Source organism: Homo sapiens, chromosome 7 (assembly GCF_000001405.40).
Source record: "Homo sapiens chromosome 7, GRCh38.p14 Primary Assembly".
NCBI lineage: Eukaryota > Metazoa > Chordata > Mammalia > Primates > Hominidae > Homo > Homo sapiens.
In genome coordinates this window covers 137768633-137783039 of record NC_000007.14, presented here as the reverse complement: position 1 = coordinate 137783039, position 14407 = coordinate 137768633, and the positions used below count along the sequence as shown (strand labels likewise).

The window sequence follows — 14407 nt, the reverse complement described above, 5'->3', positions numbered from 1 at the left end:
TCTGGTTTCTTCTCATTTGGGTAGACTATGTCAGAGGAAAGATCTGGGCTTCAAGCGCTGCTGTTTAGATTCATTTGTCCCACGGGGTGCTCCCTTGATGTGGTGTTCTCCCCTTTCGCCTAGGAATGGGACTTCCTGAGAGCCGAACTATAGTGATTGTTTTGCTAGCCACCCAGTGGAGCTACAGAGCTCTGAGCTGGTACTGGAGAGTGTCTGCAATGAGTCCTGTGATGTGATCCATCTTCAGGTCTTTCAGCTGTGGTTACCAGCACCTGCTCCGGTGGAAGTGACAGGGGAGTAAAGTGGACTCTGTGAGGGTCCTTGGTTGTTTTTGTTTAGTGCACTGGTTTTGTGTTGGTTGGCCTCCAGCCAGGAGGTGGTGCTTTCAAGAGTGCATCAGCTGCGGTCCTATAGGGAGGATGCAAACCTTCCCCAGGGATACCTGGTTAGTATTCAGGTTTCTCAGGTGGTGGACGGGGCCATAGAGCTCCCAAGAGATTATGACCTTTGTCTTTGGCTACCAGGCTAGGTAGAGAAAGACCACTAGGTGAGGGCAGGGCTAGGCGTGTCTTAGCTCAGCCTCTCCTTGGGCAGGGCTCCCTGTGGCTGCTGTGGGGGATGGGGGTGTGGTTCCCAGGCCAATGGAGTTATGTTCCCAGGGGGATTTTGGCTGCCTCTGCTGAGTCATACAGGTTGTCAGGGATGTGGGGGAAAGCGGGGAGTCACAGGCCTCACCCATCGTCCACACAGCCTGCAGTCCTAATGGCCGGTCTCACTCTCATCATGCCCCCACGACAGCACCGAGTCTATTTCCAGGCAGCCAGTGACCAGGGCTGAGAACTTGTCCCAGACCATGAGCCTTCCCATTGAGAAAGCAAGCAGACTCACAGTTTTTTGGTGTCTCAAGGAGTCTGCAGAGGTGATCTAGTTCGTTACTTGAAAGGGTCTGTGGATTTTCTCAGCTTTTCTGGTATGTTCCTACAGTAGTTCTTGGAGCAAAAGTTCATGGTGTGAGTCTCCACATGCTGCTCTGTCTGTCTGAGCAGGAGCTGCAAGCTATTCCTGCCTCCTATCCACCATCTTAATTGACAGTGGTAACCAAAATGTTTAGAGCCATTTTGACAGATTGAGGAATCACTGCTATGATTAAAATGTAGCACTTGAGATGACCATGCTCAACTCGTAGGATGCCATCATCAAACAGCTTTGCCTTCTCCCTCCATTTATTCTTTAAACCTGCACAGTGGGACATGTCCTTCCCTGGCAATTCCGGTCACTCTTAGGCAATTAAAAAACAAAACAAAACAAAACATTCAGGTTAAAAACACCAGATAATTCAGTACCTGAAACGTCCAGCATTATGTACTAGCAAAAACACTGGAGTTGATTTAGAATTGAGCTTTCTTCCCTCCTCCAACAGGGGCCTGCCCCAGCCCTGCAGTCATGGAAGGAGAGTGGTCAGCTTCCCTCTTTCTCCTCAGTATTCCTTCACCCCTTTTCTTCTCTAGGCTAGCCTCAGTCTCAGACCCCATTAAATTGGGTTGAGAGAGAGGAGGAGGAAGGAAATATAAGGGAAACAGTAAAGTGCTTACTTAACTGCTGATGAATTGTTAGTCTAGTTTCAGTGCTTTCTGAATCTAGCAGATATGTAAGTTTACTTCTCTGTGGAGTTCTTTTGTGTATTCTTTGCCCAAAAAGAACATACCCTCCCCCCATTGCTAAGGGTCTCATATCTGTAGTTCTCTGAGACAAAAACAATGCGTTGCTACTGGGCTACACCTTTCCCGACCCTTAGGCTCCTGGCCACACCTCCAGCTAATTTCTGCTATGCCTTTTGAGTAGTACCTGAACAGTCCTGATATGGCTGTCTCAGATGCACAGCCCACACCTTGTTCATGGAAGACACTCAAATACCCTTTGCTTCTGCAAACTCTGGGAGTGCAACCACCTCTCCTAGATCCACCAACAAAACAGCCAGCAAGCCTAGATGCTATCATGTCTGATGTCAGATGTGGTTCAGACACAAATCTATTTGTTCCCCAAACTGCACAGACTGCTGAGGACAGATGTGAAGCCCTCTGTCTGCCTTTTTAAAGTCCCTCTTTCTTGACATGAGGTGAAGCGGCAAGCCCCACTAACCACTGGCTCTCCTTGATTGAAGGGTTGTGGACTCTCAACACATCAATAGCTTCCTTGAACAATCCCTCCAAAACTGTCCAATTCTTGATCCTTTTAAGGAATTATGAGTTTTATAAACAGTTTATAGCACCTTTTTTGGTAAATTTTGCAAAACGTCTAGCTCTTTTAAAAAAATTATTTCTTGATGCTTGAAAGAAAATATTCACTGAAACATCATGTTATGTGAGCATCATTTTTCTACCCCCATTTAGAAAAAAGCATTTCTGACTAGTTGCAGAAGGAATTTTGTTACATGGATATAGAATTGGCTGCATCTAGGGATAGATTGAATGGATGACAAAGTGAAACCACGCTTTCTTTATGAAGGTTGTATTTTCACCTTCCTTGTAGACACCCTTCCTTTTCCAGGGTGCCCTTAGATAAACAGCTGTGCATCTTACAGGAATTGCTTACAATGATAGATTTCCCCTAAGCTCATGACTGCCAAATTTGTCTTTGTAGCCCAGACCTCTTTCTGAGATGCAGATCCATATATCTGATAGCTTACTCTACTTCTCTGATCAAAGTATTACAAGTTTAGCTCACATCATCATTACTCTAAATACCATTCCTCATTCTGAATATCTATTTGCCTTCATGTAATTTATCTTTAGTCTTAAGAAATGGTACTTAGAAACCCTTAGTTGTTTAAATCAGAAAGTTGGGAGTCATCAACAGATTCTTAAGTTCTTGTCAACCATGCCACTTTAGCAATCTGGTGATGTCTCTGACCGCCTTTCAAAACAGTGTTTGTAAGAATACAGGACTACTATGGAAACCAATGATATGGAAACACAGTTCTGTTATGAATGACTTGGAATTCATGAATTGTTTTCCTTCTCATCTCTCACATTGATTCAGTATATCATTCACAGATCATCTCCTGAATAGCAGTCAGACTCATTTTATTTTCTCTATCTTCACTGATGCTTTCTTACTTCACTCCTTCATCATCTCTCACTGAATGACTGAAGTTTCATTTAAAAAACAACTTATACTGATAAATTTCAAATATAGACAAAGGACACAAAATAATATAATGTACCCCATGTTGCTGTTACCTAGTTTTACATTCCCACTCCCCACTCTATTATAATGACGAATTTATAGACTTTATTTTAAGTAAAACTTATAAACTGTCTTAGTCTGTTTTGTGCAGCTGTAACAGAATACCACAGACTGGGTAATTCTTTTGTCAAACGTCTGTTCAAGTTTTTATTTTTGACTATTTTTAATTGTTTAAAAATGTTTATTAGTAGTTGCAGGAGTTAAAAAAATCTGGATACAAATCGATTATCAGATTCATGGTTGGTAAATATGTTTTTCCAATCTGAAGCATACTTATTAATTTTCTTAATGTAATTTTTATAAGCAAAAACTTTTAATTTTTAAAAATGATATTATGTTCTATGTCCTTCTGAGAAATCTTTACTTATCTGCAAGTCATGAAGATCTTCTTCTGTTTTCTTCTAAAAATTTTATGTGTTAGCTTTCACACTTAGGTCTATGTATGATTCATCTTGAATTAATTTTTATGCTTGCTATAAGATAGAGGTTGAGGTTCATTCTTTTTTTTTCCATATGAACATCTAGCTGTTCCAGCATAATTTGTTGAAATTATTGCTTGCTTTATTGAATTTCTTTGGTGGCTTTTTCAAAAATCAATTGACTATAGACTTGTACTATTTCTGGACTCTCTATTCTGTTCTGTTAATCTATTTTTCTATCTTTATGCCAATAACACCCTGTAGGTTTAAAGTAAATTTCAAGTCATGTGGTATGAATTCTCTATCTTTTTTCTGTTTTCAAGATTAATGTATTCTGGATCCTTTACATTTCCAAATAAATTTTAGAATTAACATGTCAATTTTTATTTTCAGAAGACCTGCTGGAGTTATGATTGGGATTTCATTGACTTAGAAGATTAACCTGTATGTATAGTTTATTTTTTAGCCAGTGATTTGGGAGAGAGATTTATTTGCAGATTTTAGGGATCACTGCCTTTGTGACTTCTCTCTATTTAACATATTCCCCCTAACTTTCTGCAGTTTTGCCTTCCCCTAAGTTATCTGATACTTTGATCAAGTAAGGAAACTGAGGCTTTCTGCAACCCCAGCTATGTGCAAATTGGGAGTGCTAACAGTCAAATATTTGCAAACTTGCAAATTTCATTCATTGCAGTTTGTCTTTTAATGGGGGTCTCTGCTCCAGATTTTGCCTAACCATGTTCACTTTGTAGTGCCTTTGAGTAGTTTTTTTTTTTAATTGTCCAGATCTAAAAATTGTTATCTGTGGAACAATTGTTCTGACCTAGCTACTTTGCTATTAACAGAAGACAGAGCACCTCCTTCTTGCCTCCTCTTTCATCTCCCTGTAACACACCTGCCCATTGTCCCCTAAGTAATCTTTCAAAAAAGCAAACCCAAGCAAACCATTTTCTGGTTGAAAGCCCATCAATGACTCTTCATTGCTTTCTCTCTGCTTTCTTATCTTCCTTTTTTAGATTCCTCCTCACTTATCCTATGCACTCTCTGGCTTTATTGAACCATTTGGCATTTCCTAGACACACCCTTCCCTTAAAAGTCTCCCCTTCTTGGGCTTATATCATGATCCTGACTAAAATGCCTCTATGTTCTTTGTAGCCGGGCTAACTCCTAGTTCTTCAAAAGTCAGCTCGAAGTACCAACTCATTGGTGAAAACTTCTGGGCGTTATTGAAAGTGGGCTACTCATACTTTCATATTTTCCTAATGTTTTTGTTATGTTTTAGTATCACAAAACTCATCAACTTATATTTAATTGTTTAATCACTTATTACACTGTGAGCTGTGTACGCCTTGGTAGGGTCCATGTCTTACCTGTGATTGCCAATCGCCTAGTATTCTTGTTGAGGAAATAAGGGAAGGTGAACGGACTGAATAGCCACATGATGGTTGCATTTTAGGTGTATTTATGACGAAATTTTAGGTATCTGGTCATTCCCAAATATTTTCCCTTTGTCTTCTCACTCATGGCACTGAATATTTAAATACCAATATGCGATTAACAAGGTAAAGTTAGAACCACAGAAATGCCTCAGTTATCCAGAGGAAAGCTTTCCAGGAGCCTCAGAAAATGAACCAGATGAAGACTTAAAAATCTATGTATATAAATAGAAGAATTCTTTAAAGAGAATAAAAGACATTGATGAGTCGAAAGCAGTGACATAGTAAATAACTAAAGAGCCAATGATGCCAATATTTCATCTGTTGAGATATGACTTAAAGTTTTATGAACACAAAGGAAAAGGCTGATTCTGATTTCAAAAATTAAGCAGCTCTTGAAGCTTTAATTGGCGTGGCTACAGTATGACACAGAGGAACACTGAGGGAGCTAGACCATAGCCGTCGCTGCTGTGAGACACAGGGAGCCAGAATCCTTTCACATTTTCCTGGACATGTCAACCTTTCTTTGTTTCTTTTTTGACTGCTACATAATCATATAGGCATTGCATACTTTTTATGGAGATTCTTTCTTGGTGGAATCCCAGTTTTAATTACTGTTTCCATGTAAGTTATTGTTGGTGAGCAGACAATGCCTTTTCCACTTTTTAAAATAATGCCATAGAATTCCATATTACTACCATGCATATATACTAAAGTTTCTCCCGCCTCATCCTTTTTTTAACAGATTGGTGGGGGTCTCACTCTGTCGCCTGGGCTGAAGCTCAGTGGCATGATCATAATTCACTGCAGCCTCAAACTCCTGGGCTTAAGCAATCATCTGCTCTAGCCTCCTGGTTAGCTAGGACTACAGGCATGTGCCACCATGCCCAGCTAATTAAAAAAAATTTTTTTTTTTGGTAGAAACAGGGTCTTGCTGTGTTTCCCAGGCTGGTCTTGAACTCTTGGCCTCAAGCATTTCTTTTGCCTCAGCCTCCCAAACTGCTGGGATTATAGGCATCAGCTATCCTGCCTGGTCTTTTTAAAAGGCCTTTTCTTACAATTGATTATTATCTCATTACTCCTCCTTTTCTCATGTATTTTTCGTCTCTTCTCCAGTCCATTTTTGCTTTGAGCCTCTCCCACATACACCTGCCCCCTCAAATATCTGTCATTTATCACAAAGGCTTTCTCATACTGTCATGCTTTAAGACACTGATAATCCACTTCTTCCATTAAGTTGCCCTGTACCAATCATAGATGATCGATTGCGTGGTTATATGAAATAGATAATACAAAATGAAAAATGAACGTTTCTTCTTTAAGTACACCTTCCTCAGATACACCTCTTCCCCTACCCTCAGAGGTAACCACACTTAACCATTTTCTGTGTTGTGTAATCCTTCTATATTTTTTCTAAGCATCTATGAATAAACACACACACGTAAAGTAAGATGATGGTCAAAATGTTTAACCACTGCATGGTAATATAAAACTTAGCACTTAAAAATATGTTCTATTCTCTAGGCAGACCAAACTATATATAATTGCCTACCAGGTGATCTATGTTAGAGGTTAAATCATTCATCAAACTATTCCAATAATTTTCAAAGCATTTATTGATTTTTAATGGGTATAATCTTTTGTTTGATGCAGCTGTCGGTAGTTAAGTGATGTCCCTGTATCAACCATGATTTGAAACAGGGAAACACATCAATCTATTCCAATGATTCACTCATTGCATAATACTGCCACTTGCTTCTTTCATTTAAGAATATACTTTTAGCTGGGCGTGGTGGCTCACGCCTGTAATCTTAGCACTTTGGGAGGCCAAGGCAGGTGGATCACCTAAGGTCAGGAGTTTGAGACCAGCCTGACCAACATGGAGAAACCCCATCCCTACTAAAAATACAAAATTAGCTAAGCATGGTGGCACATGCTTATAATCCCAGCTACTCGGGAGGCTGAAGCAGGAGAATCGCTTGAACCCAGGAGGCGGAGGTTGCAGTGAGCCGAGATCACACCATTGCACTCCAGCCTGGGCAAAAAGGGCGAAAAACTCTGCCAAAAAAAGAAAAAAAAAAGAATATACTTTTGACATCTTTCCCTGTGAGACTATAATAAATCTACTTTATTGTATCTAATGATAGGATAGTATCCCATAATATGGATATAAGTTTATCTATCGAGTTCCCTACTGTTTAAATGTTTCCAGTGTTTTGCTATTACACGTAATGTTGCTAAAACATTCTCTTACATCTTTGTCTGCTTCGGTGCATACTTTTGTAAGATAGACTTATAGACGAGGAATTGTTGGTTCAAAGTAGATGTGCCAATCAAGAATTTGCCCACTTATAAGTAACTACACACATCTTGTGTGCACATGCACCGACATACATATTATCACCTGAAAATATAAACCCAGATGCAAACACAGGTGAGCACTAAATTAATTCTAAAATTCATTTGAGGATTTGGCACCATGAAGTTGCATAGCCACATACCCTCAGGTAGACAAGACAGGGGAATGGCAGAGGTACCTTGGTAGAAAGTGAAGGAGAAGAAGAAAGGTTGGTGGTCCAGAGAAGTCAGTATTTCCTTGCCTGGAATGAGTGCCTGCCTATCGAATTTTGATAAAACTTCTTGATTGTCATCCTTGTTTCATTACGGTCCTCCCAGGAATATTTTGCTTTTTTCTAAGCTTTAAAGATCATAGCTTCGTGACTTAATCTTTGGACTGGATTTCCCCACTTATATGAGAAGAACTAATAATGCCACATGGAGCACACCTTTTCAGGACTCAAGGAGTCTAAAAAAAAGAAAAGAAAAATGAGTCAGAACTTCTGCCTGTGAGTCTGAGTCAGCTTAGTGTGTTAAAAAAAATAATAATAAAAAAAGAAAAGAAAAAAAAAACCGTGTGAGGAGACCTGCCTGGAAAAACTGCTGAATGGAAAGACTTGAGAACAGCTTATAGATATTGACGGCAGATGAAGAATTTTCATGTCTTTTCAGAAATGGTTAGCAGCCACTCATAACAGTCCTGTGACGTCACAGAAATCTTGACTCCTGCTTGTCTTTCTCGTTCTCCTTTAAGCCCTTCCCTCCTCCTTTTCATATAGGACCTTAACACAAGAGGGTCAGGAAGAGAAGAGAAGGGTTGCTCACAGGAGGAAAGAAGGCAAGGGGTAGCTGTTACTTTACCTGGTGGGCCATGTGTCGCTACAAATCAGGTGGTCTCTTTGGAGGAGATGCCACTTGGTAAGGGAGGCTTCCTGAGCACTCGAATACTACTAGCAACTCAGAATGTGGGACCGCTGGAAGGAAAAACACCCCTGGATGGGGCGAAGGTTGAGTTCAATTTTATTTTTTACTCTGTGTGTGTGTAGGGGGAGGGTAATGGGAAATGTGTGTTTTGCAGACACATTAACATAAGGAGAATAGCGGATGCGACTTTATTATCCTCATTCACGTAAAGGTGGACATTTAAATTTTTTTTTACAGTAGGGAAAAAGAACCTTCTGAGTTGATTTGGTATAGTGGAAATTGCATGGAAATGTTTAGCTTCCTCTGTTTTCACAAACATGTAACCTTCTAAGAAAATCTCTCTTTGACCTATTTCAAAGTTTGATTTTTTTTTTTAAAACAGTTGGGAAAATAGGAGCTAACATGAATTGCCCCTTTTCCAACAGTGAAAATGTTTGTAATGTACCTTTTCATGTTGCTCTAATTATGACCATAACTTCTTTTTTATTCAATCCTGAATCTGTTATATTTTAAAATTATATAAAATTATAAAACACTGGCCAAAATTAGTCACCCAGGAAATAGTATAAGGGACCCAGTTAAGAAAGTAAGTGTAAGTGACTGAAAAAGTTTGGTGCCTTCTCATTGAGGCAGACTTGCTTATTTGTTTGTTAACCTCAGAAGTATTACCATACATACTGTCTATGGATTTAGATACATGATTTTTCTCACCTTCTAGACATCCACCTTGTTGTGATAGAAGGAGCATGGATTTAGAGTCAGGCAGCCTTGGATCTGAATCACTTTACTACTTCTGTGGCCCTTAGCAGGCTATATAGCTTCTGTGAGCCTCAGTTTCCTCATCCATAAAATGAAAATAATGTCTACAGGTTAGTATTGTAACAAGGGATCACTCAGATTAACTTTGGAAAAGCTTTCTGCTATTAAGCATTTGGAAAACATGAGTTTCTATTTTTTTTTTGTATTTTGGTTATCATTATTGGCTTGGTTTTCTTTCTAGGCCTTGGATTCTCCTTCACTTTATGTAGAATATGATCTTCTTGTAGTAGATAGATGTGAGTCCTGCCAACAGAATTTTTCTGAATTGGCTTCTTGTCTTTTCTTTACCAATAGCTGCCTATTCAGTTCAGCTGCCTGATCAACATCTTGTCTCTCAATTCCTGTGTGCCCTCACAGATCTATTAAAGCATCCTGAGAAGAGGGTCCCTCAGAGTCACCAGGTTTCAGGGCTCCAGCTTTTCCTGGGGATCAGAATACCCCTTCAGAGGCCAACACTCTAAGGCAGTAATGTGTTTCTCTGGCCAAACGCCTGATAGTATCTTCTTGGCAAGTTCATTATTTATTCCCCTTTACTGGTGTGAGGGTTTTCCCAAAGTGTCATGTCTTTGCAGAGTTTTTCCTACCCTTCCGTGCTATACGTGTGGTACCATTTTATGCATTTGTTTTTGCTAATATGAAATAAATCCCATTATAAATAATTCCAAGGGATTTTGCAGATGATTGTACTGTTCAGAATAAGAGGAGTGTTCCGTGAATCATGGAGCTGCTTTGGTACACAGTTTGTAGAAGTAAAATGTGGTATAATGTAATTGACCCATGGGTCCCTTCTTGTACAGAGTGTCACTTGCTGAGAAGTAAGCAAAAAAGGGAGTGCATTCCTGCATCTGGCAATTCACCCCCATCCTGCAAGAGTAACTCATAGAGCAGCAGCTTATTCCATTGTGACACTGACTCACCCTTCCTCTCTCCACCCCCATTGTCTAGTGCTGATGTGTTCTGTCCCCACTAATTCTAGGGTCACACTGACTTATGCCTTCATCATCCTAAGTGGAGAAGAAAGCTTGTCTGTGTTGATGAAAGTATGAAAATAGAAATGCCATAACTTTTAATGCAAACAATATATGTTTGTTGAATGTATGAATACAACAACTTGGAATAACTGCTGACAGTGTTTCCAAATATTTTGGGTCTATTTAAGTAAAGAGACATGAATAATTTGAAACTGGCATTCTTTTTCTTCTTCTTTTTTTTTGAATTAGCAATACATGTGATGAAACCTTAAAAACAAATTCTCATAGTTACGAATGGTTGCCTTTAGTGAGCAGGATGGGGAACAGATCTGGGGGCTTAGGTCATTCATTATAAACCATTCTGCAAGCTTTCTTTTTTCTAACCAGATGTGTGTATTACTTTAATGTTTTTTTGATACCTCCCTTAAGTAGGCCCAGTCCAGTTTAAGTGCAATCTCTTGAGTGCCTTGTGTCAGACACTGTGCCGGTCACCCAGGGCTCCAGGGTGAATCACGAATAGCTCTCACATGTGAATTCACAGTCTAGTTGGGGAGACAGAACAGACCAAAAGCAGATAATATTTAAATAACATGATGCTGGCTAAGAGAGAGGTAGCCATGGAGTTAAGTATCTTCCTCTCCATTTTATTCAGCCTTTTGTTTTAAAATTCTACCTTTATGATGTATTTCAACAGAGTTCTGTGTCATGATTTTGGATTTAGTGGAAAAAGAACAGAGGAGATTTTCTTGTTACCTTAATTTTCCCAACATGGAAGATTTGGGAATGAAGAAGGACACTGCAAAGAGTGAGGCCTAAAATGGAAACCAGTCATGATTTTTATTTTGCTACTTTCTTTACGGACACGAATGCACACAGTGTAGAGCAGCCTTAACTCTGAATTGGAACAAGGTCGTGTAAGTGCCAGGACGTTATTTCCAGAAGCCCACAGCTGCTGATTCCTACACCCAGTGATTTCCACTGCCTTTTCATGATTCTGGAATTCCCAAGAACAGTGTCATCTTATTAGAAGGTATTTCCCAGTTCGAGTTGGAGACAAACCAACCTTCCCTCACAGGCTGAGTCCTTCTGGTTTCACTGCCAAAGCTTCCAGACTCACCCAGGGTCTGTTAGACATATTTGAATGAATCTGTCAGATTGTTCAGTCGTTAATGAGGTCACACTTTCCATGAAGACCATAGTGGCGTCATTTTGTGTACCAACAATTGTATCAAGTCATGATGATTTTTTAAATATCATTGAAATAATCATTAAAATATTATTGAGATAAAGATGCATGTTTATTGGTATCTATTTATTCCTTTCTCTTGTTTAAGAGAGAATTTACTTAGATGTGTACAAAACTGCTTTCTGGCATACTTAATTTTATGGGTTTCTGATTTCCACATCACTGAAAGTATCTGGAATACCTATGATGCAATGTGAATCTTGTTTCCACTAACTAGTAAGTAAATGCTTTGTTCGAGATTTAAGAAAGTTGGCCTGGCACGGTGGCTCACACCTGTAGTCCCAGCACTTTGGGAGGCTGAAGCGGGTGGATCACCTGAGGTCCGGAGTTTGAGACCAGCCTGGCCAACATGGCGAAACCCCATCTCTACTAAAAATACAAAAATTAGCTGGGCATGGTGGCACGCACCTGTGATCCTAGCTACTCAGGAGGCTGAGGCAGGAGAATCGCTTGAACCCGGGAGGTGGAGGTTGCAGTGAACTGAGATTGCACCACTGCACTCCAGCTTAAGTGACAGAGGTGAGATGCCATCTCAAAAAAAATAAATAAAAATAAATAAAGAATGAATATAATTGCAAAGATAAAACGTAAACCCAGATTGGGAATAAGAAGCAGAATTATACCAAAATGGAAGCTGACGATTACACAGATTCACTCCTTATTTACTCATTCAAAGCTTGCCTCACATACCATAGGTAAAGTGGGTAACTCTTTCTGATTTTTTTGGTTCACTTCAAGACTATATGATCTTGAAATTTTAAATAAATAAGCTAAAAAGGCCCTAAAATATTTTATTAAAACCCACTGAGGGCCGGGCGCGGTGGCTCACGCCTGTAATCCCAGCACTTTGGGAGGCCGAGGCGGGCGGATCACGAGGTCAGGAGATCGAGACCATCCCGGCTAAAACGGTGAAACCCCGTCTCTACTAAAAATACAAAAAATTAGCCGGGCGTAGTGGCGGGCGCCTGTAGTCCCAGCTACTTGGGAGGCTGAGGCAGGAGAATGGCGTGAACCCGGGAGGCGGAGCTTGCAGTGAGCCGAGATCCCGCCACTGCACTCCAGCCTGGGCGACAGAGCGAGACTCCGTCTCAAAAAAAAAAAAAAAAACCCACTGAGTATAATTTATTGATTTTTATAAAACTAATTCTTTTTTTTTCTGTTTTACTTATAAGTTTTGGGATATGTGTGTAGAATGCGTAGGTTTGTTACATAGGTATACATGTGCCATGGTGGTTTGCTGCACCTATCAACCCGTCATCTAGGTTTTAAGCCCCTCATGCATTAGGTATTTGTCCTAATGCTCTCCCTCCCCTGCCTCCCACCCCCAGACAGGCCCTGATGTGTGTTGTTCCCCTCCCTGTGTCCATGTGTTCTCATTGTTTCACTCCCGCTTATGAGAGAGAACATGCAGTGTTTGGTTTTCTGTTCCTGTGTTAGTTTGCTGAGAATGATGGCTTCCAGCTTCATCCATGTCCCTGCAAAGGACATTTCATTTTTATGGCTGCATAGTATTCCATGGTGTATATGTGCCACATTTTCTTTATCCAGTCTATCACTGATGGGCATTTGGGTAGGTTCTAAGTCTTTGCTATTGTAAATAGTGCTGCGGTAAACATACATACGCATGTGTCTTTATAGAACAATGATTTATAATCCTTTGGGTATATACCCAGTAATGGGATTGCTGGGTCCAATGGTATTTCTGGTTCTAGATCCTTGAGGAATCGCCACACTGGCTTCCACAATGGTTGAACTAATTTATACTCCCACCAACAGTGTAAAAGCGTTCCCATTTCTCCACAGCCTTGCCAGCATCTATTGTTTCCTGACTTTTTAACAATTGCCGTTCTGACTGGCATGTGATAGTATCTCATTGTGGTTTTGATTTGCATTTCTCTAGTGATCAGTGATGATGAGCTATTTTTCATGTTTGTTGGCCGCATAAATGTCTTCTTTTGAGAAGTGTCTGTTCATATCCTTTGCCCACTTTTTGATGGGGTTGTTTTTTTTTCTTGTAAATTTGTTTAAGTTCCTTGTAGATTCTGCATATTAGACCTTTGTCAAATGAGTAGATTGCAAAAATTTTCTCCCATTCATAGGTTGCCTGTTCACTCTGATGGTAGTTTCTTTTGCTGTGCAGAAGCTGTTTAGTTTAATTGGATCTCATTTGTCAATTTTGGCTTTTGTTGCAATTGCTTTTGGTGATAAAACTAATTCTTAATTGTTATCACTCAGTGAATGGTACTAGTTTGATCTTCCCTTGCTGATTAATCCAGTTCTTTCCAGTTCACTTGAAACCCATTTCTTTGACTCAGATAGCTTTCACTTTAGTTCCAAATTTTCAGGGACATTTGGTACCAAACTCTTCTTACAGAACTTTACCCTCGACCACCATTGCTGGATCTGCCACAGTCAGAGTTCATCTACCGGGTCTAACACGTCTCGGCTTCTTTTGCATTTTCTCCCGTGTCTCCCTTGGGTGTCGCAGAAGCAGCAAGAGATTATTATCATGTAGTAGGGCTCCGTAATCAGAATGCGAAATCCCTATGCATAAATGCTGTCTTTTCTCAGAATTTCCTGACCCACTTTCTATTTTTTGAGAAGACAAAATTGACTTTTTTTTCTGACTTCTTCAGAAATCTCTTATAGTGACTGGTATTTTCATCTGCTGGCACCTCTGACAATGACTATTACAACGTGCCTCAGAATACAGAGTGCTAACACCTCATCTTCTAAAAGAAATGCTTCCTCTGTAAAAGTGTTTTCTCTGATGAAGCCGCCATATAGACCATTGAATAGGAACTGCAGAAGACTCCGGAACACAATTTGATAGCCGTTCAGCCAAGCGGCTGCAATTTATTTTGTCCCTGAGTGTGAAGGAGGCAGCCCAAAGAATGTTGGCTCTGGAGGAGGAAGGCAAGGATATGGGGAAACAGGGGCCAGAGAAGGGCAGGATGGGGCAAAGATTCAGGGCACCTTATGTAATGAGGCACAGCGTGATTCTGCCCG

General features: G+C 40.1%; 1 protein-coding gene across 9 annotated transcripts in view, besides 1 other annotated feature; it reads left to right on the top strand.

Annotated features, from left to right (window-relative positions):
• DGKI (diacylglycerol kinase iota) overlaps nucleotides 1-14407 on the top strand; it is a 465938-nt gene that overhangs the window by 63935 nt on the left and 387596 nt on the right. The gene's annotated exons all lie outside the window — the stretch shown is intronic.
• Nucleotides 199-699: an enhancer, noted in NCBI's record as "H3K4me1 hESC enhancer chr7:137467087-137467587 (GRCh37/hg19 assembly coordinates)". NCBI's record gives its function as "activates a minimal SCP1, AML or CMV promoter by ChIP-STARR-seq in primed H9 embryonic stem cells {active_cell/tissue: H9 hESC(primed)}" and the evidence as "EXISTENCE:reporter gene assay evidence [ECO:0000049][PMID:30033119]".